The 27,421-nt window shown below is 40.8% G+C and overlaps 1 protein-coding gene across 11 annotated transcripts in view, besides 7 other annotated features; it reads left to right on the top strand.

Moving 5' to 3' along the window:
- The window catches only part of STARD13 (StAR related lipid transfer domain containing 13), a 573,658-nt gene that overhangs the window by 465,642 nt on the left and 80,595 nt on the right, over window positions 1-27,421 (top strand). For 2 of the 11 annotated variants that reach the window (NM_052851.3, NM_001243474.2), the window contains exon 1: window positions 5,129-5,334. The exons of 7 other annotated variants lie outside the window; for them this stretch is intronic. Coding sequence is in view for 2 of the 4 variants with exons in the window: in NM_178007.3 (NP_821075.1) it covers window positions 25,131-25,275 (145 nt within the window). In the remaining 2 variants the exon portion in view is untranslated. Of the gene's footprint in view, window positions 1-5,128; window positions 5,335-25,061; window positions 25,276-27,421 lie in introns of those variants that run through there. 2 more of the 11 variants (NM_178007.3, NM_001243466.2) reach the window with 1 other exon arrangement.
- Window positions 8,399-8,488: a silencer, noted in NCBI's record as "silent region_5255". NCBI's record gives its function as "represses an Ori minimal core promoter by ATAC-STARR-seq in GM12878 lymphoblastoid cells {active_cell/tissue: GM12878}" and the evidence as "EXISTENCE:reporter gene assay evidence [ECO:0000049][PMID:35858748]".
- Window positions 10,840-10,889: an enhancer, noted in NCBI's record as "active region_7575". NCBI's record gives its function as "activates an Ori minimal core promoter by ATAC-STARR-seq in GM12878 lymphoblastoid cells {active_cell/tissue: GM12878}" and the evidence as "EXISTENCE:reporter gene assay evidence [ECO:0000049][PMID:35858748]".
- Window positions 11,240-11,309: an enhancer, noted in NCBI's record as "active region_7574". NCBI's record gives its function as "activates an Ori minimal core promoter by ATAC-STARR-seq in GM12878 lymphoblastoid cells {active_cell/tissue: GM12878}" and the evidence as "EXISTENCE:reporter gene assay evidence [ECO:0000049][PMID:35858748]".
- Window positions 14,917-15,107: a silencer, noted in NCBI's record as "fragment chr13:33770183-33770373 (GRCh37/hg19 assembly coordinates)". NCBI's record gives its function as "represses an EF-1alpha promoter that drives an FKBP-Casp9 reporter gene in an ReSE screen in K562 erythroleukemia cells {active_cell/tissue: K562}" and the evidence as "EXISTENCE:reporter gene assay evidence [ECO:0000049][PMID:32094911]".
- Window positions 22,797-22,946: an enhancer, noted in NCBI's record as "active region_7573". NCBI's record gives its function as "activates an Ori minimal core promoter by ATAC-STARR-seq in GM12878 lymphoblastoid cells {active_cell/tissue: GM12878}" and the evidence as "EXISTENCE:reporter gene assay evidence [ECO:0000049][PMID:35858748]".
- Window positions 24,040-25,239: an enhancer, noted in NCBI's record as "CDK7 strongly-dependent group 2 enhancer chr13:33760051-33761250 (GRCh37/hg19 assembly coordinates)". NCBI's record gives its function as "activates an origin of replication core promoter dependent on BRD2, BRD4, P300/CBP, MED14 and CDK7 cofactors, with strong dependence on CDK7, by STARR-seq in HCT116 cells {active_cell/tissue: HCT116}" and the evidence as "EXISTENCE:reporter gene assay evidence [ECO:0000049][PMID:35650434]".
- Window positions 26,821-26,910: an enhancer, noted in NCBI's record as "active region_7572". NCBI's record gives its function as "activates an Ori minimal core promoter by ATAC-STARR-seq in GM12878 lymphoblastoid cells {active_cell/tissue: GM12878}" and the evidence as "EXISTENCE:reporter gene assay evidence [ECO:0000049][PMID:35858748]".

Raw genomic sequence — 27,421 nt, 5'->3', positions numbered from 1 at the left:
TAGAGTGTGTTAGATATTCTTTGATTTCACTTTGTGAAGATAAAAATAATTTACTAAAAAGGAATGATCCTGTCCTATACAATAACTATATTTTCATATTTATAATGATATTCATAGCATAATGCAAATAACGTATGGTACATTTCCAGTGAGTTTTTGTTTTCTCATTCCTTTATGTCAAGAAATTGGTGAATTTCTTGGTATCCAAGATCTAAACCAAAATATATGACCAAAAGAAATGGAGAAATGGTAACAACAGGGCTTGAAATGGCCGATTCTGATGTGGAGGTGCCCTCTTTAGAATGCCAGCTAAACTGTTGGTCTACCAGATTTTGAATGGTTGATTAGATGCTAGCAGCATCTGCAGGATCGCTTAACCTAAGTGTTAAATAACACACAATATCGCACCCTATTTGCTCAAGTATTTCAAATTGCAGGCATTAATACAATTAGCAGTTCTTACAGAGAATTCTTAATTTCTTGATTTGTGGTTAATCAAAGTCAATCTTTTAAGTGTAGTCGTAATCACCTATATTTTAAATCACCTGTGTTTTATTCCATTCTAACTATGGAATGATAGCATGTATTGAATGCTTATGCTAAGCTCTGTGGCAAGCATTTTATGTACATTAACGCACTAAATCTGTGCAACAACCCTAAGATGTGTACCATTATTATCTAGTCAACAATGAGAGACTGCAAGTAACTTGTTCAAATTCACACAGCTTGTACCGTCAGAGCCAAGATTACAATTCAGGCATTTGGGCATTAAGTGCAGTTTTTTTATTGCACTGTAAAGGGAGCACACTCTTATCCATGAAGTCATACTGCCCTCACTGGCTGTGAAATACTGTGTTCTTCATTTACTCTTGCCGGAATTTGCAAATTGTCTGCAACCTGCTACTTTGTAAGGGCTCCTCCCTTGATGTGCAGTAAGTTCTGCTTCCTCAGTGTGCTCTCCCCTCTGCAGAGCTGATGTTTAATAGACCTGGCTCTTTGCAAGAAAGAAAACAAAGTCCCCAAGGAGCCATATTTATTGCCTCTAGGATCCTTCCTACCTTGCCCCTTCAAAGAACACTGCGGCTGTTGTCGACCCCAGCGTCTGCTGTTGAAGCTGCACACCCACTCTGTGCATGAAGCTGGAACTGGACTCTGTTTTTTTGTTTGTTTGTTTGTTTTTCAAGACAGGATCTTGGTCTATCACTGGACTGGAGTGCAGTGGCATGATCACAGCTCACTGCAGCCTCCACCTCCTAGGCTCAAGTGATCCTCCCACCTCAGCCTCCCCAATAGCTAAAATTCCAGGTGCATGCTGCCATGCCTGGCTAATTTTTATTTTTTTTGTGTGGAGACAGGGTGTCTCTGTGTTGCCTAGGTTGGTCTTGAACTCCTGGGCTCAAGTGATCCTCCCACCTCGGTCTCCCAAAGTGTTGGGAGTGCACGTGAGCCACTACAGCTTGTCTTGGACTCCGCTTCTTGTATATGGTCATTCAAGATGTCCTGTCATTGAAAAGAAAGGGAATGATGATTGAAATATCGGTCCCTCACTTAAGGATGGCAGGACTGACGACCAGCAGATCTGTCCTAATTGTTGTTGCTGTGTTCAGTTTATGAACTTTCACTGCACTTACACCTAGATATTGCTTGGAATGGTTAATTGGCTTCTTAGGCCCTGGAATTTGGAAAAAAAAAAGAGAGAGAGAGAGAGAAGATTCAGACATCATGCTTTTTGCTTTGCCATCTGGTATAATTCTTAAAGGCATTTTTAGGTCCCCAATATGGGTAGTGTTGCTGTTTGTTCCTTTCCAATGCTGATTGGCTCAGGCACACAGGTTCTGGGCTTTTGATTATGAAATTGATCAAGGCTGGATGAGGCAGATTTCTGGCACCTTTGAGTCAGTGGTTGTAGGCAGAGACACCATATACATTTGCGTAGGTTGTACACTGCACAGCTCTAGGTTGTCCTGGTCCTGGGGAACGCAGGTGCCAATATGGGGGTAACACACAAGTCCTGAGGTCCCCACCCATGCACATTCCACTCCCCAATATTTTCCTTCCTTTGCCATAAATTGAATCTCTGTCTAAAACTTCTCTTCTAGGCATACTTCCTGACCACTAGCAATCTGGTGCTTATCACCAACATGTGACAACAGTAGTCTTGTAGCTGTGTGTGTATTTTAAACGGCTGCAAAAGTATTTCACTATGTGGCTGTACCATAATTTATTTGTAAGTTCTCTATTGGTGAGCACTGAGGTAATTTGCAATCTTTTGCAATGAAAGATGCTGAAATTAAAACTTGAATATGTGTGTACACCTGTCTGCAAATACCTCCAGGAAAAATTCCTCCAGATGGAATTTCCTAAGACATATCTCCCTGGACTCACATGTCTTTCTGGTTGCCTCTAGCACTCTTCCTGTTTTCAACCCTGTCCTCCTAGTTCAGCCTTCATGACCTCTTGCTGAAATAATTGCCATAGCCTCCTGAGTGGAGCCATCTGCCTACGCTTCCCTTTAGAATCCATCCTTAACATGGTTTCTAGCTCTCACCGCTCAGACTGTGTTACACCTGTGCTCTAAAACCCCCAAGGGTTCATAATTGCTACCTGAGCTGGTATGAACTCCCCATACCCTCTCCCAGCATCCAAGGCCATCCCATATATGGTTCCGCCCCACCTTTGATGACTCATTTGCTTGATTTCCCCCACGTGTTCCCTGTGCTTCAGCAGCACCAGAAGGTTCCTGAGTCCCCAAGCTTGCCTTGCCTCCTGTTTCTTTGGGTGCCTTAGAGCTCACTCCCTACTTGGAAGTGTCCTTCTCTCTCCTGGGTCCTCCCTCATCTCTGCCTGTGTACCCTCATGCTACAACCCCGCCATGTTTTCTAGATTCTCCCACTCCCACTCCCCAACCTAGACTCCTTCCACCTCCCACTGTCCTCATATCCTGCTTTAGGTGATAATTTCATTTCATGTACCCTTGCAGACCACCTGTGCCAGAGAGAGCTGGCAGCACACATCCTCTGAAGTGGCTAGCACGGAATGTCTTGCACATTTTAGGAGGTTTTTTAAAAGGATTTATTAGATAAGATCTTCGCAGTTGACAAATTCTCTTACCCAAAATTGGCATAATCCTTTAGCTTGGGGAGAAGAGATCACACACATGAAACTATTATGGAAGTAGGGAATTTCCCAATATATTTAGTCAAGAGCACAGAAGCTCATTGGCAGTGAGGTGCCAGGCAGGGTAGGAGCAGGAGCAGCCCCTATAATCTGCCTTTTGTGGGCGGGGCAGGGTCACAGATGCCTGTCACACAGCCTGCATCGAGCAGGGCCTGCTGGATTAAAAAGCTGACTTCTGGCCAGCTACAGCAAGCAAAGACTTGCAACACCATATGGGAAGAATTGACCCAACAATCCATGTGCTTTCATTAAAGGGATGTTTACAGACATCCTGGTTCTTGACTCAAGTTCATTGTCACAGAATGACGTTCTCATGGAGGAAGTGGGAAAGGGGTGGAGTTGAGGGGTGAGTGTAGAAAGCTGGACGAAATCAGGGGACCCTGAACAAAATCTCTCGTGTTACTTTTCAGTTACTCAGAAAGCCTCTCTCTCTACAAATCCCTACAAGGTTGAGACACACAGGCACTCTCAACCTTGAAGTATCTGATTTTACAACTTCAAACTCAGGCTTCTCACAATACTCTATACTCCCTCTCTTAGAGTGAGTACCTCTTATCTAGTTCAAAGTCTCATTCATTCTCTTATTTGACAGACTCCAGTTGTGTTTTTCTTGCCTTTAAGGAGCTCACTGACTAATGGCAGATGCCAGTTCTAGGGTTCTATTGAGTGAGAGTGGAAGGAGAACTAAGGTATCAAACTTTTGCTATTCAGCCCCACTCTGCCCTATGCTTACTTCGTATTCTCCCTCACTGTGGAGTTCAAACATTTAAAATCTGAGTGGCTGTTATCCTCAGCATGCACTGTATACTCTGCACCTTACTCCCGGAATCCTTTCATCTTTAGCTCTCCTTATCACAGGCAGTGGTAGTTTGGTATCATCCTCTGCCAGATTAAACATGTATATTTATTTAATATTCTCTCTGTTGTTGAAAATAACAATACGAATGTTGCATAATAACAACAAAGTTCTTTATCATCTTCATTTGATCTGCTGTCATCTGTGAGGTCTCCAGAGCATACTCTGTGCCTTTCATGTTCGAGGACACTGCCGAGAAATAAAACTGAGACTCGAATCCAGATCCTGTGACTGTGAATCCTAGTACAGTATTCCAACATATAGCCTTAGTTTAGGAACACTCACTTTTTCTATTCATGGTAAACGTGTGGCCTCCACTCACTGATAAGGTGAGATTACCATCGAGCATGCAGTATACGAAAGTCTACAATGCATTGTTTGTCATGCTCACTTACAGAGCAGACTGATTGTTCCACAGTCACCTGTTCAACCCCACTTGGTAGTGGTTAACCCAGAGAAGCAACTGCCTCTCATCTGGAACCTGAAATGCATCCCATGCATTCTCCTGATTCACCAAGTTCATTGGCAGTGTAAATACAAGCAAATCCTGTTGCCAACTGAGGGTGTAATGTCATCAGAATGTGAAGGATGACCTGAGTTTTTTAAGGATACACAATTAAATGTGCACTGATTTTGTTATATCCTATTTTGGCATTTTCTCCTTTTCTGTTTTCTCCTTGGAATTGGTTTGCACAGTATTAACAGATTAAAAATTATTTATGGGTGTGTGTGTGTGTGTGTGTGTGTGTGTGTTTCAGTCATGGGCATCTTCTTTCGAGTCTTATTAGGCATGGAAAAACCTAAGCTTGGTTTAAAACACTTCTTCCCTTCCTGTGAAGTTTTAGGCTAACTTAAAATGGGATGTGTTATATAAGGAAGGCACCTGACACTAGCGGTGGGGGTGCCTAGGAGAAGGAGCACCCCCCTTGGTTTGTGATAGACTGGCAGCGTTTCCTCTGGTATGTGCCAGAGCGGCAGAGCCAGTTTTAAAAAGAGGATTTATAGGAAATCCAGCTGTGAGTTTTCGTTTTTTTCTCTTAGAGCTGGAGGCGGGGCCAAAACCAACCTCAAACCAGGCACACCATTGATCAGGCTAGAATGATGTGGACCAGTCTCACAGACAACAGCCAAGCACAGAGGAAATATTAGCTGGCAGAGATAACGAAGAGAAAACACTCGGTGACAGATGCACCATCTGTCAGTTTCTGAGGAGCAGTTTTCAAGAAAGCTGAAAATGAATTGAAGAAGAGAGGGGTTTTGTTTGAAAGGTACAGCACAGCCTAAGGACAATTTTAAACAAAGTAAGTTTGTGTTCCATAGAAAAAGAGGTCGTGGTGGTGGGAAAGACAACAGTTACTTCCTATGTAGATTGTGAGTTTTGTCATTGATATAAAAAGTTTTCTTTGTAGTGGACTTGATATTTACAACATTCTCTTAACAAGAACTTGATTTAAAATTAAAAAGCAGTGACTGTCATTTTGGCTACTCACTCTAGAAACATTTGCAAGTTACAGTTAGATTTATTTTACTTTTATTTAATCTCAGAGAGAATTGTTTTATCTCAGACTACAGATATAGATAAGGCCTTCCTTCCTTCCTTCCTTCTCTCTCTATTTATAACAATGGGCAAAATTATTTGTATCTTTCCTCAAAGGCAGTTTATTAAGAAAGCGACCCACCTTTCAGATTGACGAGGTTGGCAGTAAATGCTTTGTATTAGCATGCTTAATTCCATGGGCTACGTTACTTAAATAGCTATGAATATGACCTGGACTTCCTACGAGCCTTCCAAATAATGTTATTGGTGTTGACATCATTTTTAAAGGAAGCTGCTTCTGGATCTTCTGTAGTTTATCTTTCTCAGAAAGTCTGTTACCCTCTTTCAGAACATAAGCTACCATATGAAACAATCCTGCTATTTATGTTTAATACATTTTTCAACGGCTTCGTTTTCAAAGTTGGACTTGGGCTGTTGGTAATTGTATGTTACATCTAAGTGGTTTGCGTTCGATGTCATATGTCGCATGTTTTATTAGGCCAGGATTCGTCTAATTCCAAGGGGATCTAAAGCAGTGATTGAGAATGATAAGATTCTATGAGCGATAGCAGAAAGTTTTCAGGGGGCTCACAGGAGGTCCTTTATTGGAAAAAGTCAATTCTTTTACAATTTACACAGGCGGAAAGGGACTTATTTTGCATCTGCATTAGCAGGCTGTCTAGTCCAAACCAGAAGTGGAAGCGCTGGCTGTAAACTCGCCAAAGTAGAAACCACTCAGTGTTATGGCCCAATATGGATGTCAGAGCTCTGGAGCATGTGTGGGAAAATGGCCACAGGCCAACGTCTGGAATCATTTATCTTCCGGTAGAGCTGAGAGGAGAACTGTTTTATGCGTTTTGCAGAAATCCTTGCTGATTGATTTCATTTACATAGAGCTGGTGCAGAGACTGATGGTGAGGACAACTATAAATGGGAGAGAAATATTGATCTATTTCTGCTTTTCCTGACATCCTGGTCTCATTAGTGTTCTTAGCACCTTTGAATGAGATTATGCCGTTACTGACAACCATATGGTTTCTACGGGGTTCTTTCCACGCGTCTCATAAGAAATGACACATTTATGTCTTTTCTTATTGGGGAAATCAGAAACTGAAAGTTGAAGATTTTGTCGTACTGTCTTTTCATTAGCTTAGCCTGTTTCCTACAGTCTAAATGTGAAAAATGAGAGGAAGGAAATATCAGTAGACAGAGTTCTTTGTACACTCTGTGCAACCTATGTAGTCATTGAGAGATGTGCGTCTGATACTCTTTGTGAAATACTGGAACATACTGTTGTTGTGTAGATTCATATCTGCATGTGAAGGAATCATCTATGCCAACCAGTATGTTCTGCATGAGCTAAACTCACATGTGCTGACACATGCTGACATGTGACAAGGTAGCATCCGCACCTGTTTTTCTAATGTGTAAAAGAATTTTGCCAGCTTCTGACAGTACCCACGTCAGACCTTATGGAGACGATTTTAATTGATTTCAAGGACCGAGGTAACAGTCAGAAGCCTTGGATTTCAGATACTACCTTTATGCTGCCTAATTTTGTGACCTTGAGGAAGATGATTAACCTTTTGATGAATCTAATTCACTGCTTACAAATATAATGAATAATTATAGCCATTTTTGTCTCCCAGAGATATTTCAAATGTCAGTAAGACATTTATAATGCATCTTGTGCTATTAGCTTTTGGTACGTATGCCATTAATGAAATTGCCTCCACTCTCTTAGACAGAACTTCTGCATTACACTGAAAAAGCTAAAAACTTTAGCCTTTAAAGTTAAAACAAAATTAAAAACAAAATTCTATAATCTTATGTAGTAATACTTTTGTTTATAGGAGGCTGCTCTTGAAGGTATTTGCATCTATTTTTTTTCTCTTTGTAGAATAACTATTTGATTTTCTCATCAAGATTCTCAGCATTGTGTAAGACTAGTCATTTCCTCAAACAGGTTGAACTTTAAAAAATAGGGCTAAAATTGGTGTGATGCTGCTTTGATTTAGTATGGTTGAATATATGTAATTTTTAAACTTCCTAATGTAAAAAAAAATGGATAATAGTGCAGATTAAGGTACCTAATATTTTCTCACATTTTATAGATACATAGATATACCATACAAATAAATATATGCTAATCTTCATATATGCATATACCCACACACATCCACTTCATCTTTCAAAATAATCCAGTAAAACTGATAGCATAGCAGCATATAAGATATGAAAAGATAGGAGTGATTACTGTGTTTTCATTTTAAATCCTTTTCATTTTACATGATGAACATGATCACAGCTTAGTGTACTGCAAAGGACATCAGAAGCCAGACCTGCCAGTACAGAGAATCACCACGCACCCTGTTCTGTGAACACAGGTGTGTGGTGGCCCCTAGAATCTCGAAATATGGCAGCCTTGGGAGCCACGCCATTCAACTGTGCTCTTCCGCTGCATTGTGGGAATCAGAATGTGTGCCTTACTGTAGCACGAGGTGGTTGGGAGGCCCATATGACATAATGTGCATGAAAATGCTTTGAAAACTTTCAGGCCATTTAAAGTCACTAATTGAACTTCGACAACTTCTTTGCTGCTGGAATATTCCTTTCTTCCCTTTCTTAATAAATTCTGCCCGTCATTCAAAGGCTTCTCTTAGCTCTTTTTTGATCTCAAAGGTTTCTTTGGAGCCCCCAGAGGTCCCTCTCAGAAAGAGGAAGTGAGCGAATTTTGCCACCCGTGTCCCTCCTGCCCCACCCACCAGATGACTTCACTATTACACTCCATGTTTTCACACCTCCACGCTCTGCCCAGTTCTGTCCCTGTGCTCTGCTAAATGTTTTCTCTACCACTTGCCAACATCCTCCTCCTCCTCCAAAGCTACCTTAAGCATCACTTGCCTTTGAAACCTTCTCCACCACCATTCTTTCACAGAGCTAGAGCCTTCTTCATTCATGGTTCCAAACTTCTAATCAAGGTTTTATCTTATTCTACTTCATTCTTTATTTACACATCTTCCTTCCTCCCTAGGCTCCGCAAAGACAGGCCAGGTACCATGCTGCTTTGACTCCCTGGTGCTCGCTGTAGTTTCTTATGTCTGGTTGGTGTTCAAGTAATGTTTGTCAAGTGAATGAGAAAGTCAGTCTTTCCATACCACTTCTTTGTGGGGTCCTGTCATTACACACCTTCTGGGACAGAACCCTGGTACCCATTTTTGTGTCTGGAATAAATTGTCCCTTATGGCATAACAGCATATAGACTGTTGTCAGCTGGGAACCTGAGATTGCAACAATGCAAAACCCTACATCTAATCACCAGCAGATTAACTATTAACCTACTAGTCCTATCTGAATCCTACTAATCATAGTTAGGTAACTAAACATTAAAACTATCATCCATCTGTCTCTATTCTGAGAGAGCCTTGGCATATCTGTGACTAGCTGTGTTTTAAAAAGAAAATCTGACCATCTTTTTGAAAGGCAGTTTGGCAGCATTTATCAAGATCCTCTGATCCAGTAATTCTCCTAGGAAACTATCCTAACGAAATGGTTTCATAAAAATGTAGACAAAGCTTTCTGAACAAAGATGTTCAGCATGATATTATTTATAAATAATATGAAAAATGGCAAATAAGTGACCAGTATTACTTTTATAATCAAATAAAAATTCTTAAGAATCCAAAGGTTGCCTGACAGATTATGTACTAATTATGTTGACCATAAGGCCTCCATTTTTAGGTTCTTTACACAGAATCAAGGATATACTTGGAACAATCAAGTTGAGCAACTTCTTACCATGCTTCCAATTTTACTACTCTCCCTTCTGTTTAAATTTAGAAAATGTTGAAAATAAGGTAACCTTTGAGGCCAGAATTTGAAAATTCTTTGACAGAACAATAATCTGAGTATCAGAAGGGGCCTAGAAGGCCTGCCTCAACCATTTTCATTTAAAAATTGACTGCATGGAGAGCTGGAGATTCAAACTGGTTTAACTTTGCTCTTGAGCTGAGGTTTAAAACAGGTAAAAAGAAAATTTGAGTCTACTTGTTCAAATACTATGAAGAAAACTATGTAAATTGTGGAAGTTTTTTGGCAATCTCTCATTTAATCTCTTTTTACATGGAATAACTGGCAGAGGTAAAGCCATGTTATCATAGTAGATTCTGCATGTTACATTGGGATAAACCACAGGAATACCGGAAATAATCACTGACAAAAATAGGTTCATGTAGTCAGTTGAACACGGGATTTGATGGGGCCATGCCACTGAGATACATCATCCATCACCACATCTGTGCTCAGTGTGGGAGGGTTTCTGTTTCCAATTCTTGGAATAATACTTAAAGTGCATCCCCACTAATAATGCCACCCGCTGAAGCTCTCGGTACAGGGGCCAGAGCTAAGGATTGCTAGTGGGCAGGAACATTTCCATCTCATCCCAAAAGTGCAGAGAAGCACATTGCTTCTTTAAGCATATTTCTATTTTTTATTTTTTATTTTTTTATTTTTATTTTTATTTGTTTATTTATTTGTTTATTTTTATTTTTTATTTTTGAGATAGAATCTCACTCTGTCACCCAGGCTGGAGTGCAGTGGCACAATCTCGGCTCACTGCAAGCTCCGCCTCCTGGGTTCACGCCATTCTCCCGCCTCAGCCTCCCGAGTAGCTGGGACCACAGGCGCCTGCCACCATGCCCGGCTAATTTTTTGTATTTTTTTTTTTAGTAGAGACGGGTTTCACCGTGTTAGCCAGGATGGTCTCAATCTCCTGACCTCGTGATCTGCCCACCTTGGCCTCCCAAAGTGCTGGGATTACAGGCGTGAGCCACCATGCCCGGCCCTTTAAGCATGTTTCTAAATGGTCCTGTTCAGTTGTGTTCCATGTGCAACAACAGAGTAAGTGGGTGCAAGTCCTCTGCTTCAGAGAGTTCACTGTTTAAAAGGTGAAGGAGTGCCAACTTCCAAAGTGAATAGAAACACAATAATACATATATGGGTAAGTCCCCCAGTAGGGCAACAGCCAAGCACACATGCAATGTCGGTGGCAGCAGGTTAGGTGTGGAAGGAGCAGGGGAAAGTGGAGTCCTGAGAAATTCACTACAGGGAACTTAAGTGTTAATGACCGGAGAGTACCTTGAAGTGGTCTCGTTGTTGGTGACGCTTTGGAAGACTGAAGCAGACTTCAAGGGGCTGGCACGGTAGCTCCTGCCTTGCCAAGGGCTTCCACATACAGATGGTGGGTGGCACAGGGACGAATAGGTCATTTACCTGAGCTTGAGCTGAGCCAGGCTGGTTAGGGGAGCTAGATGTGAATGACAGAGCAAGCGGCTAGCTGAAGAAAGCTTCACTATCTTCCAGCCCCAGGAACCCTTAGGGGATGGCAGGGAAGGGCATGAGCTGTGTCAGCAGACCACAGGGCTAGAAGGCAGCGTGTTTGGTTACCTTCAGCCTCTGTGGGGCCTCCCCAAAGACCTGTTTATTCTGCACTCAGCAAAGGGCAAGAGGATCCTATCTGAATTTGTTGCTCATGGGCCCAGATTTCAAACATGCTCTACTGCCTCAGCAAAGATTATGCCATAAAAGCTACTTGGAATTATTGGTTCTCTACTCCCCAAAGGAAAACAATGATTTAGAACAGTGTCCTGAGAACCGCTGTTCTTCCCACATGTGCTTATTATACTGCATCCTGGACCATTGGTACTGGGCCCGGCCAATGACTGGCCATATATATACATTACGAGACATGCCTAAGGAGGAGAAACCCAGCAAGCAGATGAGATACAATTTCTCAAACTAACCATAAATTACTCCATGAAAAGAACCCTTATGTAACACTGAGGCATCCTGATTAGTGTTCTTTGGGCCTTGCAAGTACCTGAATGAAACCACAAAATAGTTAAACAACAATATTGGGAACTCAGTTTCAATAAAAGCTGTTTATTTTTAGCTGAGGATCAAACTCCAAAATAAGTGACCTCTCTGTGGCAGGCATTCTAGCAGAGCAGAAGTTATTTTTATCTTTAGAGTTTCTTGTAAAGTCTTCTGCTTCATGTTGGCTTAAACTATAGCTTTCTGTTTCTTTTCGGTTTTGCTGACATTCACTTATTTGGTGTTGGTGTATTACTTCTACAAAGGACCTAAATGCTTATCTCACTACAGTTCTCCTCCTCCAAAATGCACAGCTAGTGACATTGTATACTTAATGCCAACAAACATTTATTGAGCATCTACTGTGTGAAAGGAACTATGAAAAGGAGACATATAATGTCTTTTCAAGAATATTACAGTCACGTCTTGGGGACAGATATGGACACAATTCAAGAAAGAATGATTTTTGTTGTAATCAGGGGCTTAAGGCAATGTGCTATGGGGCACATATTTAAATCCAATTCAAAGAATGGAAAAGCTTTATGCATGATATGAAATGTGGCCTGGAAACATCAACAGATTTCAGTAGAAGGTAAAGTAGGAAACAGATGCTCAAGATCAAAGGATGTATGTTTAAAAACACAAAGACTTTAAGTGTGTAATGTGTTCAAAAATAGATGAGTGAACCTCAGCGTGACTATACCTTAGGATGTATGGAGAGATCACTGCATTGGGAAAGGCGATTGGAAAAGGAGATGGGGGCTAGAACTTTTTAAGGGTTTTAGATGCTATTTAATAAATCATATGTAGTTACTGACAAATTATGAGGAAGGTGGCGATTTTCAACTTGTAATTTAGGATGAATATTTTGGTAGAAAGTGCATTAGAGAAGATGCAGTAGCACCATTTATAGGTCCATTGCAATAACCCACCTGTCCATTTAAGTATATATTCATTAGATATCTACTGTGTGCTAGGCCCAATTTTAGACTATAGAGGCACAGGAATGAGCAAAATAGGAAAACAAAGTTTCCTGACTCGTGGGGCTCATGCTCTTGTGGAGAAGACAGAGAGTGAATAGCATAAATAAATGAACTATGTTTATTTTAGTGATAACTGATAAAGAGAAGGAATAAAACAGGGAAAGGGGGTATGGAGGTGAGGGAGAAGGGTTAATTTCTGTACATTTTGCAATATATATTCAAGGTAATTAAGGAAGGCCTCTTGGAGAAAGAACTTGAGGGAAGACCTGAAGGAAGGAGGCTTTAGGCAGGGTCTCTAAACATCTGGGGTAAGCCTGGGTCAAGCAGAGGAGACAGATAGGGCCAAGGCTCTGATGCTGGGTGAGCCTGGGATGCTCACAAGTTGACTAGTGAGTTGGGCAGTGTGGGCAGAAGAGGGAAAAGGAGAGAAACAAAGCATCCCTTAGTGACTGTGGGCTTGGTTAATAAAGAATAAGTCAAAGACAATTTAGATTTTTTTCCTGGATGGCTTAGGTTGACATATTTGGTGTTGAAACAGCTTTTCTTTTGTTTTGTTTTTTTGAGACGGAGTCTCACTCTGTGGCCCAGGCCGGAGTGCAGTGGCGTGATCTCGGCTCACTGCAACCTCCGCCTCCTGGGTTCAAGCAATTCTCCTGCCTCCCTCCTAAGTAGCTAGGACTACAGGTGTGTGCCACCATGCCCGGCTAATTTTTTGTGTTTTTAGTAGAGGCGGGGTTTTACCATGTTAGCCAGTGTGGTCTTGATCTCCTGACCTCATGATCCGCCCATCTCGGCCTCCTAAAGTGCTGGGATTGCAGGCGTGAGCCACCGCGCCCGGCCTGAAACAGCTTTTGTAAGATGGCCTTGGTGACCTCATCAAGGAAGAGGGGAAGTCAGCTAAGAATTAGCAGCCAGGGATTAGGACTGGGGATGGAAATTCAGTGGCAATGTTTTGGATTACCTCCTGGGAGGAACAGGAAAAGGATCTAACTACATACTAATGTAAGGACGGATGAGCAGGGTGTTGGTTCTACCATGGCTTGCTGATCCGTTAGGCAAGCATACATTAGCACTTACTGCGTCAGCAGCAGCACTGTGTCGAATGCTGGGCAGACCGAAGTGGAATTGGCTCGCTGACGGAGAGGAAAGAGAATATTTATAAAGTTTGTTCCTTCATCAGATCTGAGAGAATGAGATAGCGTAAATATTTAACTCTGACAATAAGCCCACTTGCGATACAAACAAGTTTTATTGGGCTGACGCTTAAGAGGTCTATTGAAAACACACACACACACACACACACACACACACAACTCTCTTCCTTTGTCTATAGAGATAACTCAATTCACACCAAATAGCTATATTCTTCAATAATTAACCCTGCCTAAATCTGTCTATAGAACTGAGTTTTCAACCAGTACGCTTACAGGGTGCCTCACATGGGATATGAGTGTGCCCTGAATTGGTAATAGGTGTGCTGAAAATATTGACCTCCTCAGTCTTGGGCTGGCTGAGCGGGACCTGGGGTGACCAAAGGCTTGAGCTTCCCATAGCCTAGTAGCTTATCCCAGCATGTAGTACAAACACAACGTGTGTGCCATGTGTGAAAAAGGCTGGGAAGCAGGCAGTGTGGCCACCCTATATTCATTTCCCCGGCACAGTGGCCCCAGCCTTTGTTGAATATACACTCATATCAGTAACAAAATCTTGAGCAGTACTCCCAATATATCTATCTTTATGTATTTTATAAGTTACATGCAGTTCTACTGTCATTAATATCTCAAGTCATAAAGGCCAAAGTCCATCAATAATTACGTAAATCTCTATTTCAAATAGTCTTCCAGACAATTTTACACTAGTTCAGTTGGCTTCTTTTCTGGTCTAAATCTGTGTTCATTATTGCTGCCTTGTAGAAGTGACTGTTAACAGGGCCAGTACTAGGAGTAAGGGAATTTCAGCTTTGTCTCTTTCTTGTTGGCTACTCATTGCTGGTAATTAATATTTTCTCTTTGTGGTTCCTCTGCAAGAATCTTTTTAAGTTGCCTCTCCATTCTGTTAGGATTAGTTTGGTTAAAGATAAGCAATGTAGCTCACAGTCTCTCAATCGAGTCCATGTCGGCTGCCGCACATCATGATGTAGGGCAGTACTGAAAGCAAGCGTGGAGGTAAGATTGCTGGGGTCAATCCTCTCTACTATACAATCGCCACCCTCCCTCCCAGAAACCACTGGCAGGCTGGCAGCTCCAGTGAGGGCGCCTCCTATCATATCCTGATATTGCATACTGGCATAACAATTTGTTTCTTTAAAAATATTTATTTTATTTGTATTTATTATTATTATTGTTTTTTGAGACAGAGTCTCGCTTCATTGTCCAGGCTGGAGAGTGGTGCAATCTCAGCTCACTTTGCCCCCCAGGTTCCAGCGATTCTTGTGCCTCAGCCTCCTGAGTAGCTGGGATTACAGGCATGCGTCGTGTCACCACGCCCAGCTAATTTTTGTAGTCTTAGTAGAGTCGGGGTTTCGCCATATTGGCCAGGCTGGTCTTGAACTCCTGACCTCAAATGATCCACCCACCTCGGCCTCCCAAAGTGCTGAGATTACAGGCGTGAGCCACTGCACCCAGCCTAATTCTTTAAAAATATTTTAGAATATTTTAATACGAAATTTTAAACACAGATAACATTTCTCATATAATCATCTGAACCCTATTTTGGAGAGCATTGTTCTTGTGGCCTCTAAGTGTCTATTACCTCCCTTCTTAACCAAATGGAGAAAGCTTTTAGTTGTTATGTGTGTCCCATCTGCCAACCACAGTACAGAGCACTCATTTCATCCTCACGACCACCCTTTGAGGGAGAATGATTGTCTCCATTTTACAGATGAAAAAACTGAGGCTCAGAGGGTTTATTAACTTGTACAAGTTGGCATTGCTTGTAAGAAAGAGAGACAGATTTGAAACATATGATCTTTCCCATCTTCCTTCCTTCTTACCGCCTTCCTTCACTTAGGGCTTGGGGTAATTTCCGTTCTTGTGTCTAAAGAACTAAGTCCTAGAAAATAATGAATTTTCAGATCTCAAGACATGCTTTACGATAATACTGTCGTGGGTGCTACGTGTCGGCTTCCTGGCTAAAATTGCAGCATCGTTATGGCTGGTTTCTGTCCATGCGGCAAATCTGGTTGCTATGGTATCCTTCACATAGAAAAATATTTGTCAGCTCCAGGTGGCTGGAACACCACACAGGCTTACTGATAGTGAGAATACAAGCAATGATTCAGTGAATTACAGGACAGTCTCCTGAGAGAAAAATGTGGTCCCCGGGGACTTTGATGAAGTAGCCTAGAGATGTTCACTTTGTATTTTTCCCGCTACAAAACTTCAACTTTAGTTGGTTGAGTTACAGAGAGAGTGGCTAAATCTGCAAAGATGTCAGTAACAGGGGATTACTGAAATAGTGTTCCTTCCTGTGGGGGAATATATATTGCATTAAAATAAATGAATGTGTTGACCTAGTAAAATTAAATTGCCATATCCAAAGTAGTGGCAGATTAGGCATTTTAATTGTTGGTCATTGATTTAAATCATCTCCTGAGTCAGAATGTATTCTCATTGAACATGATTACATCCAGATAATGTTTTCTTCCAGTAAGAGGGAAAGAACAAAGGAAAATAAATAAAACACAGTTCACTAGAATCTCATAAAAGTTCTTGCACAAGAAGTGAAGTAGCATGGGAAAATATGAGTTCTTTTACAAAAACAACTTTTTCCTTGAAGTCACTGCAAGATTGCTGTTCACATAACATATTGGTATGTGTATATGTTTATACAAGAGGGGGCTGCAGGCCCAGGAAAATGTAAATAAATCAAAGTCTCTATGGTAGCTGTGGTCATTTTAAAAAATGACTAACAGCATATATAATCTCCTTTCAAAAAAACAGTGAGTTGTTCGTTTCTGATTTTTTAAAAATCCATTTTCACTTTCTCCAAAGAAGCCCATATTTGAGGGTTGAGAATCATTTTTCTTTTCCTCCCAATTCTTCACTGCTTTGAATTTGTTTTATATTCTGCCCAATACAAGCAAAGCATTATAGTATTGAAAAGTTTTCTATTAAAAAACATGACAAATTACATCTAGTTTATATTAAAGTAATTTCATTCTGCACTAAATACCTTAAAATATGATGTTTAAGTATAAACTTACTTTTAAATCAAAAACAAATGCTGATTAACCTTTTAAAAATATTCTTACCATGAAAGAATGTACATTTACAAGATAATGTAAATCAGGGATTTTTTTTTAAGATTCAGTCAAAATATTTTTTTAATGAAAACATTAATCCTCTTAGTAAACTGAATTTCATAGCAGAATGTTTCCATAATGAATATTAACCATCTCTCCTTACTTAAATTATTTACCAAAATTCATTTAATACACAATTTTTAAGGTTTTTTTGAAGTGAAGTATATTTATGGTTCAAATATCATCAAATAAAAATATGGTATTAGGCATGTGCTGTGTTCATTGCCTTCTCCGTGTGACTTTTCTGCTAAGTTTAGTCCATTGAATCTAAGTCCAGATTGAGGCAAGAAGAGCTAGAAGAGTATGCATCTACCTAGCAAATACTCTGTCTTTCTTTTTCCCTATATAAGTGAAATAAGCTCTAACACTCCTTGAGGTCTCTGGGATCATTCTGGACTAGTTTGTAACAGGAAAAAAACAACCTGAAAACCTCAGCTTAAAGGGCCTTTTTTTGTTTCAACTCTAAAAGAAAAAAAATGCATAATCCTATTACACTTAGTTATCAGCACCATTTGAAATCCTGACTACCTTGATAATCACCATGGAGCCGTGTAGCACTTAGCTAGTAGAGAGCTAAATTCAATTAATAGTACAGATGACTGGATAAACCTCCTCATTTATTTTACTGATCTCTACAGTTTCTCTCTCCTGTCCTCCAAGTTAAGATCTTTTTTGTTTTGTTTTGTTTTCCTGCTTCAAATACCATGTCACAGCCAACAAAAACACCACAGGAAGTCAGCTCTGAGCAGCATGGCTTTGAGGAAAGGTGGGAGGCATTGGGCTTCTGTATGTCTGGGTTTGAATCCTGACACTGTCGCTGGTTGTGTTCACGCTTTCCGACTGGTTTGTCGCTGGTTGTGTTCTAAGCTTCTAGTTGCTCATCTCCAAAATGGCAACAGTAATGTCTACCTGAGTGTCATGAGGGTGAGAGATAATACAGTAAAGAGCCTCGAGTTGTGTTCTGTCTGCGTGTTTGTCCAACAACAAACTATTATGTGACGTTTTCATTGTTACTGTTTCTCACCTCTTAAAAAGCTCTTAAAGACCATTCTGACTGGAAATAATGTTCCCACCTAGAACCTTCTGCAAGGCGTCAAGATCTTTGATGGTTCAACTTTTCCTTCTCCTTCTAATCACTAACAACTTTCATTTTCATTAAGCCCTGCTGTATAGATGATCTCTTTTCTTACTCCTCATACTACATGCTGCTGTGGTGAACATGTGTATTTAGTGGCTGATTAAAGTATGAATAAATAAATGAAGAAATTATGTGAGGAATTGTTTGTCCTTTCTTCAGTTGCATTTTTATTTATAATTTATACCCTCCTTCTTTTAAAAAGATGTTTTAAAAGCTTTGCCATTTTCTCATCCACTTATTCCCATTTAGTTATGAATGAGGGCTAGAATTTGAGCAAAAGCTGTGGTATGAGTTATAGCATCCCATTTGTGACCTTGGGCACCTCATTGAACCTCCCTGATCCTAGCTTCTTCCTCCATAAGATGGGAATGGTAATACCTTTTTTTTTTGAGACAGAGTTTCGCTCTTTTTGCCCACGCTGGAGTGCAGTGGTGCAATCTCGGCTCACTGCAACCTCTGCCTCCTGGGTTCAAGCAATCGTCCTGCCTCAGCCTCCCAAGTAGCTGGGATTACAGGCGTGCACCACCACACCCAGCTAATTTTGTATTTTTAGTAGAGATGGCGTTTCTCCATTTTAGTCAGGTTGGTCTTGAACTCCCGACCTCAGGTGATCCGCCCACCTTGGCCTCCCAAATTGCTGAGATTACAGGCATGAGCCACTGCGTCCCACTGGGAATGGTAATACCTTTTTAAAAGCTCTTGTGAGGATTAAGTGAGCCATTGCACATAAAGCATTTAGCATCACATCTGACACCTGATATCAACAATAACAATGCAGATACCTTTAAGCAGAATATTTGAATGGCATATGCATATGAGAATTAGAAAAACAATTGAATGGCTTTCACAGGTCCTATAAACTTTCCTCGTACAACTTATATCAGGGCAAATACTCCTGAATATGCATTAAGAAACCTGCAACATTCTCACAAATTCCACAAATTCAACATATTCCAGTAACAACTGTGGATGATTATGATTAATTAATTAAGGAATAAGAGAAGGAAAGTTGTCGATGTACTGTTTTAGCTTCTAAGTAGCATATTCCCTGTTTAGTAAGTACTGCAATTAAAGCCAATGTTTATCTCCAAACTACAAAATGCAAGAAGCTCTAGAAATGTTCTTTTGTTTTTTCAATAGTAACTATTTCATGAATTGCCAACAAGTTTTACCATGCCACTGTGTGCCTAACACCGGGTTAATTGCTGTGGGAACTGCCAAAAAACAGAGACTCCAGCTCACAGACTCCTGTAACCTGATTTCAGAGAATACCATCCAAGGCCATGTGCACCAAGGGCCAGATTGCCCGGCTGATTTGCAGGCTGGCTGCAGTCTGAGGCCATTTCTCCAGCTGTTTTAATAACTGTCTTACAATAACTGACTGCCTTGCAAAATGCAGTTTTATTTATCTCCCAATATCAGAATCCTGCCTGCCTTCTCATTTTTATTAGAATTGGATTACAAAACAGGGAGAAATCAACATGTTACCTTTAAGAATAAAATTGAAAATGAACAATCAGTTGAGGTTGATGTCAGGGACAAAGACATTGCTGAGGCTGTGGTCTTGGATGTTTAGCTAGCTGTGTCAGAGACCACAGTATGAAATTTATAAACCATTTGGATTAGAGCTCATCAACCATGCTTTCCTAGCAACCAAGTGCAAGGGCAATCTTAACTTTCCTACAATGTTCATGTGGATTTTTCTGGATTCAGTTAGCCTGGGTGTGGCTTTTGTCTATAATCACATAGCCAGGACATCGGCATGTGGTTGACCTTCTCTGGAGTCCCATTACATTTTTCCAAAGAGACATTAATGTCACCGACTTCAACACAACATTTCATCTTAGAAATCACAGGATTGTAGAGCATTAAAAGCATTACAAGACTCTAAAAGAGCCCTCATTTTACTGGTGAGAAGATTAAAATCAGATAGGGTAAAGTTTTGTGCCCAAGGTCATACAAGTAGCTAGCCACGTTGTTAATTAACCTTTCAGTAACAATAATAGATGGGGTCTGTGACCAGCCAAGTATTAAATCGTTTTTTAAAAATTAAATTAAAAGCATTCAGAAGTTAGTTAACTTACCATCTAATAATCCATAGTGGGCCAATCATAAAAGCTTCCCAAAGAAAAATACACTTAAAAAGCTGAAAACCGCGTATATAGTTTTTGACATGACCTTACTTTAGTAATTGTTTATGTCGTAACTTATTAAAATAAACATACCTTGTAAATTGTTTACAAAATCCCAACATCTTTTTGGAAATGAGTATAATAAGGCATTGCAGTAATACTTGGTATTTTGTTTTTGTATTTTTGAAAGCTGATATTTTGGGTTTTTTTTGAATGCTGGTATTTTTAAGACTGTGTAATTTATATTCAGTACTTTAATAAACGGGTGTAGTGGCCGGGTACGGTGGCTCATGCCTGTAATCCCAGCACTTTGGGAGGCCAAGGCCGGTGGATCACAAGGTCAGGAGTTCGAGACTAGCCTGGCCAACATGGTAAAACTCCATCTCTGCTAAAATACAAAAATTAGCCAGGCGTGGTGGTATGTGCCTGTAATCCCAGCAACTCAGGAAGCTGAGGCAGAAGAATCGCTTGAACCCTGGAGGCGGAGGTTGCAGTGAGCCAAGATTGTGCCATTGCACTCCAGCCTAGGCAATAGAGTGAGACTTGGTCTCAAAAAAAAAAAAAAAAGAAAAGAAAAGAAAAGAAAACGAAATGGGTGCAGTATTCCAACAGTACATCATTTATTTTTCATCTCTCATGGTGGTGGTGTTAAGAACCACATGCTTAAAAACCCTTGGGGTTTTGTTTTCATGCCTGGCTCAGGAAATCCTTAAAATATATTTTATTATTTTTTTTGAGACAGGGTCTTTCTCTGTGACCCTGGCTGGAGTACAGTGATAGGATCATAGCTTACTGCAGCCTCTACCTCCCGGGCTCAAACAATCCTCCCACTTCAGCCTCCCAAGTAACTGAAGCCACATCCGGGCTAAATTCTTTTCATTTTTTTTTGTAGAGACAGAGTTTCATTGTGTTCTTGAACTCCTGGCCTTAAGTGACCCTTCCTCATTGGCCTTCCAAAGTGCTGGGATTACAGGCATGAGCCATCACACCCAGCCTATCCTTAAAATATTTTTAACTAAACCAGATTTAGGGTAAAATAAAGCCCAAATTGGTATTCACTAGCCATGATAGACCTTTAGCCAAATATTTAGTCATCAATTAATGTGAACTTCCTGGGTGATTATAGGGTATCTAGTATAATGAGAAAGTTGTTTTGTCCCAAAAGGGGATCAGGAAGCTAAATTTTAAAATAACATAAATCTAGAGTTAAGTTTGGGATCATCATTTTTACAATAGTATATAAAATGGCTTAGAGTGGGTTGCAGTTGAAAGTAAGATGCTGTTTCAGGTGGTACATTTCAATCAGTGACTTCTGCTGAACTCCTGCTAGAAACTGGGATCACCCGGGCAAGGATGAACACAGGGAGGACACGGGGCAGAGGACCATTTTGTACATGAGAGAGTAACTGAGTCAAGCAGAAAACTGTACTTAGATGAAATTGAGAAAGGCGTTGAAGTTTCTGATTAGCGAAATAGCTGTGAACTGGGCCCTGTCCCACAGCAAGGGCACCCATATAGAACAGGAAGGGCACACAAACAGGTTCCTTCTTTGTGGGAGGGAGGTTCATACACAGCAGCAAGATGACCAGCTAGAAGTGTCCAGAAGTACTCCTGCTAGCCTATGAAAGTGCCATCGGAAGGACTGAATTTGTTTAGGAATTTTGAAAGGACGACAAACCAGAGAGTCCCTTCCCTTTCCTCCTGCTTTCCCTCCTTCCTCCGAAAGGAGGAAGGAGGGAAAGCAGGAGGAAAGGGAAGGGACTCTCTGGTTTGTCGTTCCCTTCCTGCCCTCCTGCTTCTTTTCCTGACTTCCTTCCTGCCATTCCCACTTCCTCCTTTCCTTCTTTCTTATAACTGAAAGTTGGTTATATCTAGCCATTAAATACTAGTTTTAAAAGATACAGCCACTTTGGAGATTCTAACCAAATTATAAACATGCTTTCTATCACCTCTCAAAAAATATTAAAGTAATAAAAAAAGCTTTGTTTGTAGTTCTTCCTTATGGTTTTATATGAAGCATCGAGCTATTCATGACACTACTTTTAAGCAATTAAAAGAAACAAAATAAAACATTTCTAAATGACAAAAGAAAAGCATAAATACAAAGTGTGAGAGTCATTGACTTATACCTGACAGACACTAAATGTCTGCTCTAATAAGCAATAACAATTAGTTTAAAAAGGAAACACCAAATGTCACTTCACAGCTTAAGCCTAGAAAGCAAAGTTAGCCGGAAAATAATTACAAAAGTCTAAGGGATTTCATGGGTTTTGTTATTAAGGCAAAGTGTCTTTTCGTTTGTCATTTTCACCAACTAATCTGACAGATTCTTTATGAAGAAAGCACAGAGCCAGGAAATTGTACCCATCTGGTCAGTACCTGCTCAGAGGATCTGATATTAAAGTCTAGATCACTCCAAACTGCTTTTTCAATGCATTTCATTTTCTAGAAGTGACGAACAGTGAAACAAACCTATTCAGTCAATTGAAATAGTTATTTCGGGGAGAAAATTGAATCCTCTTCAAAAGAAGCTGTTTCACTATCTTAGTGTGGTGAGTATTGAAAGTTGGATGGTTTCCATGAAAACAAAAATGGACATAAAAGACAAAAGAGTTTGTGAGTGATATTTACAGTGAAGTTGAGTATGTGTGCATGTGGGTGGGTGGGTGTGTGTGTGTAGCAGCAGATCATAACCAGAAATTTTTCTCAGAATTAACTCTCTGTGTCCATTTTAATTTTTGTTGTATGACTCATTCAATGTTCACTATTCCCATAAATATAGGCCATACACCTACTGTTTTCCAGGCATATGTGGCCACTGGGGGTTAAAGAAGGTTGAGGTTCCTGTCCCTAAAGTGTTTATCATGGTAACCAACTAAATGTTTGTTTCCTACTCACATTGAGGGCAGAAGATACTGCATCACTTCCAGGCCTACTGAAGTTCCATCACCTCCACATGAAGCTTCTAGGTCACCTGGGCACTGGAACATCTGCTGTGGCTAAAGAAGGAGAGCCGGTGGCAGGTCACATGGCAGATTCACCCACCTGCCTTTGGCCAGTGCTCTTTCCCATGGCCCAGCAACCAGGAAGGCTAGAATCAGAGTCCACTCAAAGGTCTATCCCATAGTCAGCCGGGTTTTGCCACAACATTATTTAAAGATGCTTCGTTTAGGTTGGGCGCAGTGGCTCATGTCTATAATCCCAGCACTTTGGGAGGGCCGAGGTGGGCAGATCACTTGAGGTCAGGAGTTTGAGACCAGGCTAGCCAACATAGCAAAACCCTGTCTCTACTAAAAAATACAAAAATTAGCTGGGTGTGGTGGCACAGGTCTGTAATCCCAGCTACTTGAGAGGCTGAGGCACGAGAATCATTTGAACCTGGGAGGCGGAGGTTACAGTGAGCTGAGATCATGCCACTGCAGTCCAGCCTGGGTGACAGATCAAGACCATCTCACAAACAAAATAAATAAATAAATTTTTTTCTTTTAAAAAAAAGATGCTTCATTTAATTTTTTTTTTACCATAGTAAAAATATCCTTTTATTAAAAACTGATCTGGAAAGCTAAGACTCATGCACTACATTTAATGAATGAATGGTTAGTGACAAATAAAGATAGAAGTCTCAGTAAAATGCATGCCCTTCCAAGCCCTTTCTTCTGAACAGGTCTCAGGTTTGCCCAATCAGACTTTTCATAAATGTAAGACTGATGAATTTGCTTTTTATTTCTTTCACTCTCCACCCTTTCTGAAGTTGCAGATAAGCAGTAGAAAGTCCATGAGCAGATTCTGGAGGTAAATCAAGTATTAACTAATGCACAATTCAGATCATGACTGTGACAGCAATGATTATCTCAAAAAAATCAAAAGTGGGCAGTTCTCAGCAACTCCTTGTCTGACCCCGATAGAGCGGGACCCTTCCCCCTCTTTCCCTGCCTTCCCGGCAACCCTCTCCCTCTGTCATTCTCTTCACATCCCCCAGGTCAATGCTCTTAAACAGAAACGGAAGTTAAGCCACAAGGTTAGAGGACAGGAAGTGACTCAATGATTCCTTGGGGGTCAGGTGTCTGGGTAGTGAGAGAAAGAAGGGAGAGAAAATTCCAGATTAGAAAAGTAGCCCAGATGGGAGAGTGATCAGGGCAGGAATTTCAGAAACGACAATGACATCAGCATTAGTGGTACTCCTCCACTCTCCTACACAAGCACTTAAGAGCGTTGCTGTGAACTACTTCCCACCCATTTTCTTTGCAAGCCTAGGAACGCGGGGCTTTCTGGCAGATTTAACAGGTAGTTTGGTGGTGTCTGGATTGTGCTAATAGAAGCCATTATACCAAAGATAATTTTTAAAACCTAGAATTTAGTAAACAAGGGTTTTTTTTGTTTCATTTTGTTTTGCTATTTTGAGATTGTTAATCTCAAATACTCTCAATTTGCTGATTTCATTATTGTGTTAGGACATAAGTGAGATAATGAAGTGGATAATTAATGACATACTCTTTAGGATGTAAATAAAAGCCACACTCCACAGAAAAAAGAAGTACCATAAAGCTTAAAAGAGATCACGAACCTTAGTACCTGCATTATACAATGAGGATAGTTTTCGTACCGAGGAAAAGGAAGGAAGTCTCTTAGAATCATCATCTTTGCTGCTTTTAGTCAACTGTGGAATGTTTTAAAACTGTATTTATGGTCTTAAAGGGCATGTAAGAAAATATTTGGAAATTTCAAGCAAAAGATTAACCACTGGAATTATGATAGAAATCGCACTGTTTCTTTACGAGAGGAGAGTTCTGTTCGCTACTAAAAGACTCTGTTGAGAATGTGAATGAGTGGAACATACCCCACCTTACATTTTAGTCCTCTTTAGGGGTTTGATTCATTAGAAAGTGTGTGGTTCTTTCTATTCCAAACAGAATCCTTTTCTCTGGGACTTTATTTTAAGGCTGTGATGCAAATCTTTGGTGTTCCTTTTTAATGGGAATGAAAACAATGAGGAAAGGAAGTGTGGAGGCTTGGAATCTCAGCTGAGGCTTCGCAGGTCACTGGGGAGCAGTGAGGTTCCTCTCCACTGTTAGCAACCGGAAACATGAGAGAGGACTATCATCTGCTCCTTGCTCTGAATTTCTTTGAACCTCCATGCTGGAACCCTCCTCAGTTCTCCATGCAAACGTTAACCAGGCCCCTTTGTGGTGCTTGGTGCTGCGCTGGTGCAGAGAATGCAAAGACACTGTCTGTGGTGGGAAACAGAAAAGCAGAGTGAACCACACATTCCAGCGCCGGGGTAAGTGCTGGATCAGAAGGGCATGTGGGTACAAAGGATAGACCTTTGTGAACTTGTTACTTAGCCTTGCATGGCCTCAGTGGCAGTGGTCAGGTGGTCTGGAAGGACATGGCGGAAAGATAAAACTAGAGCTGGGAATCAGAGAGGCAAAGAGGAAAAGAATTGACTAGTCACATAAAGCAGAAGAAGAATGTCATTCTAGACAGTGGGAAAATTGCCTATAGGGAACAGAGGATGGGAGTTGGAGGGTCGATTTTAGGAAACTTTGAGTTGTTTAGCACCATTGCCAACTATCAGGGATGTGGGCAGTTGAGACACAGAAGAATATCAGGGACCCAGGCTGAGCTTAAGAATTTCATAGTGTCCTCGGAAATTTGGATTTTTCTTTGGAGAGATTTGAGAACCATGGAGAATTCTAAGCGAAGGAGACAGTGATCAGACTTGGGTTTTGTCTCTGAAGTTATCTTTGCATGATGTTGGTAGCACTCCTAAAAAAATGCATAAATTGCCTTCAAAACATAAGATGTCCTGCTATTTTATGGAAACATATACAAGAAAGTCTTTATTTTCCAGCACTTCGTGTTGCTGAGCAGAGATTCTTCCTTCATCCCGTGATCTTAAGCTTAGCCAACATCAGCCACTGATGGCCTGTGTGCGTGTGTCTCAGTTCTTTAAGGGCAGATACCTGGGTCCATCATAAATGTCTAGAGTGCAGTCAGAATTTACCTGAACCCCACATTTTCTGGCATACATGGAGGCTGCTGTTGAAAATAAATAGATCATCTCTCTGAAAATGAGATTTATCTTTTAAATTTACACCTGAGCCTCTTCAGCAAGGCAGCATGGCCAAGAGTGTTTAGAAGCTACAGGACAGTGCATTTTCTTGGAGCATAGATTTTCCTCAAATTTGAAGGAAAGCTTTGTTGCATTAAAAGAAGTATGGGCATGTTATATTCCAACTACACATAGGAGGAAATAAATAAATCCATTGGAAGTATCTGTTTATTTTCTTCTCCCATTTGGGTACATCAGTGGAAATTGTGAAAAGTATTCATTTCGGTTAATAATAATAGCTCCAATTTTTAAGTGCCTGCTCTGTGTCAAATTACATAATTCATTTTAACAAATGTGAACATAACGTCAAGTTCAAATCCCTGTGACAGAGACCAGGATTGCAGCAGTAAACTAAATGCTCTTCCTTGTTCTGGAGTTTCTCACATCCTTACAATGACTCAGAAGAGTATATATAATGTTGTGCACATTTTGCAGTGAGGAAACTGAGGCTTTGAGATGTAATGAGACTTGCTCAGGGACCCATAGAGTAAACCCACACTCAGCCAGCTCCCCATGGCCACCTTCCTCTCTGAAAGATTTTTTTAAAATTCCAACTTACTGTCTCTTTCCCCTTATCTGTTCCCACCTTTACTTTATCCACTAGAGACATCCATTTCAGAATCCACTTTTCTTTCTCTGAAAATCAACAACGGCCATCAACCATCAGCAGCAGCAGCAGCAGCCGTGCCCATATACAAGCTTGTTTGTATCTTCATTCTTAACAACAGCCATGGCAACCCCAACCACCACAGACCTGTCCCTACTGTTTTCAAATTCACTGAGCTCACACTGTAACTCTAAAAGAGACAGAAGTCACAGTTACATCTAACAGGACAAGTAAGAATTCAAGATGGCCAGAGATCATAGAGTGGAGGTGGCTATAATTATCAGAAGGGTTCAGGAAAGGTTTGTTGGAGGAGGTGTCCAACAAGCTACACCTTCAGGAAGGAGAAGTTTAAAGTAGAGAGAAAGGCTTTATAGGCAGGCCCGACTAGTTCAGTGCCCCAAAAAACTCATCCCATTACATCATATATTTTTCCTCTGCTCCTGAGAACCAGCGTAGTCATAGCTGAATGTGGTTACATTTCAAGGGAAAGGAGGCATTACTGAACTGCAATTAAAAGCATCCCCACATCTCCAATTCCCCAGGAATGCCTTCTTGGACTGGCTGGATGATTCCCTTGGAGGTGTGAATGGGGCAGCCTGGGGGAATTGGGTTTCCTCCAGGGCATATTCAGGGAGATTTTGGGTGGTCCTGACTGGACCAGGCCTCATTCCTGCTCATAAGGTGACCTAATCCTTTGTTCATCAC

This window comes from Homo sapiens, chromosome 13, assembly GCF_000001405.40.
Source record: "Homo sapiens chromosome 13, GRCh38.p14 Primary Assembly".
Classification (NCBI taxonomy): domain Eukaryota; kingdom Metazoa; phylum Chordata; class Mammalia; order Primates; family Hominidae; genus Homo; species Homo sapiens.
The sequence above is the reverse complement of the archived record's forward strand: the minus strand, read 5'-3'. Positions and strand labels throughout refer to the sequence as shown.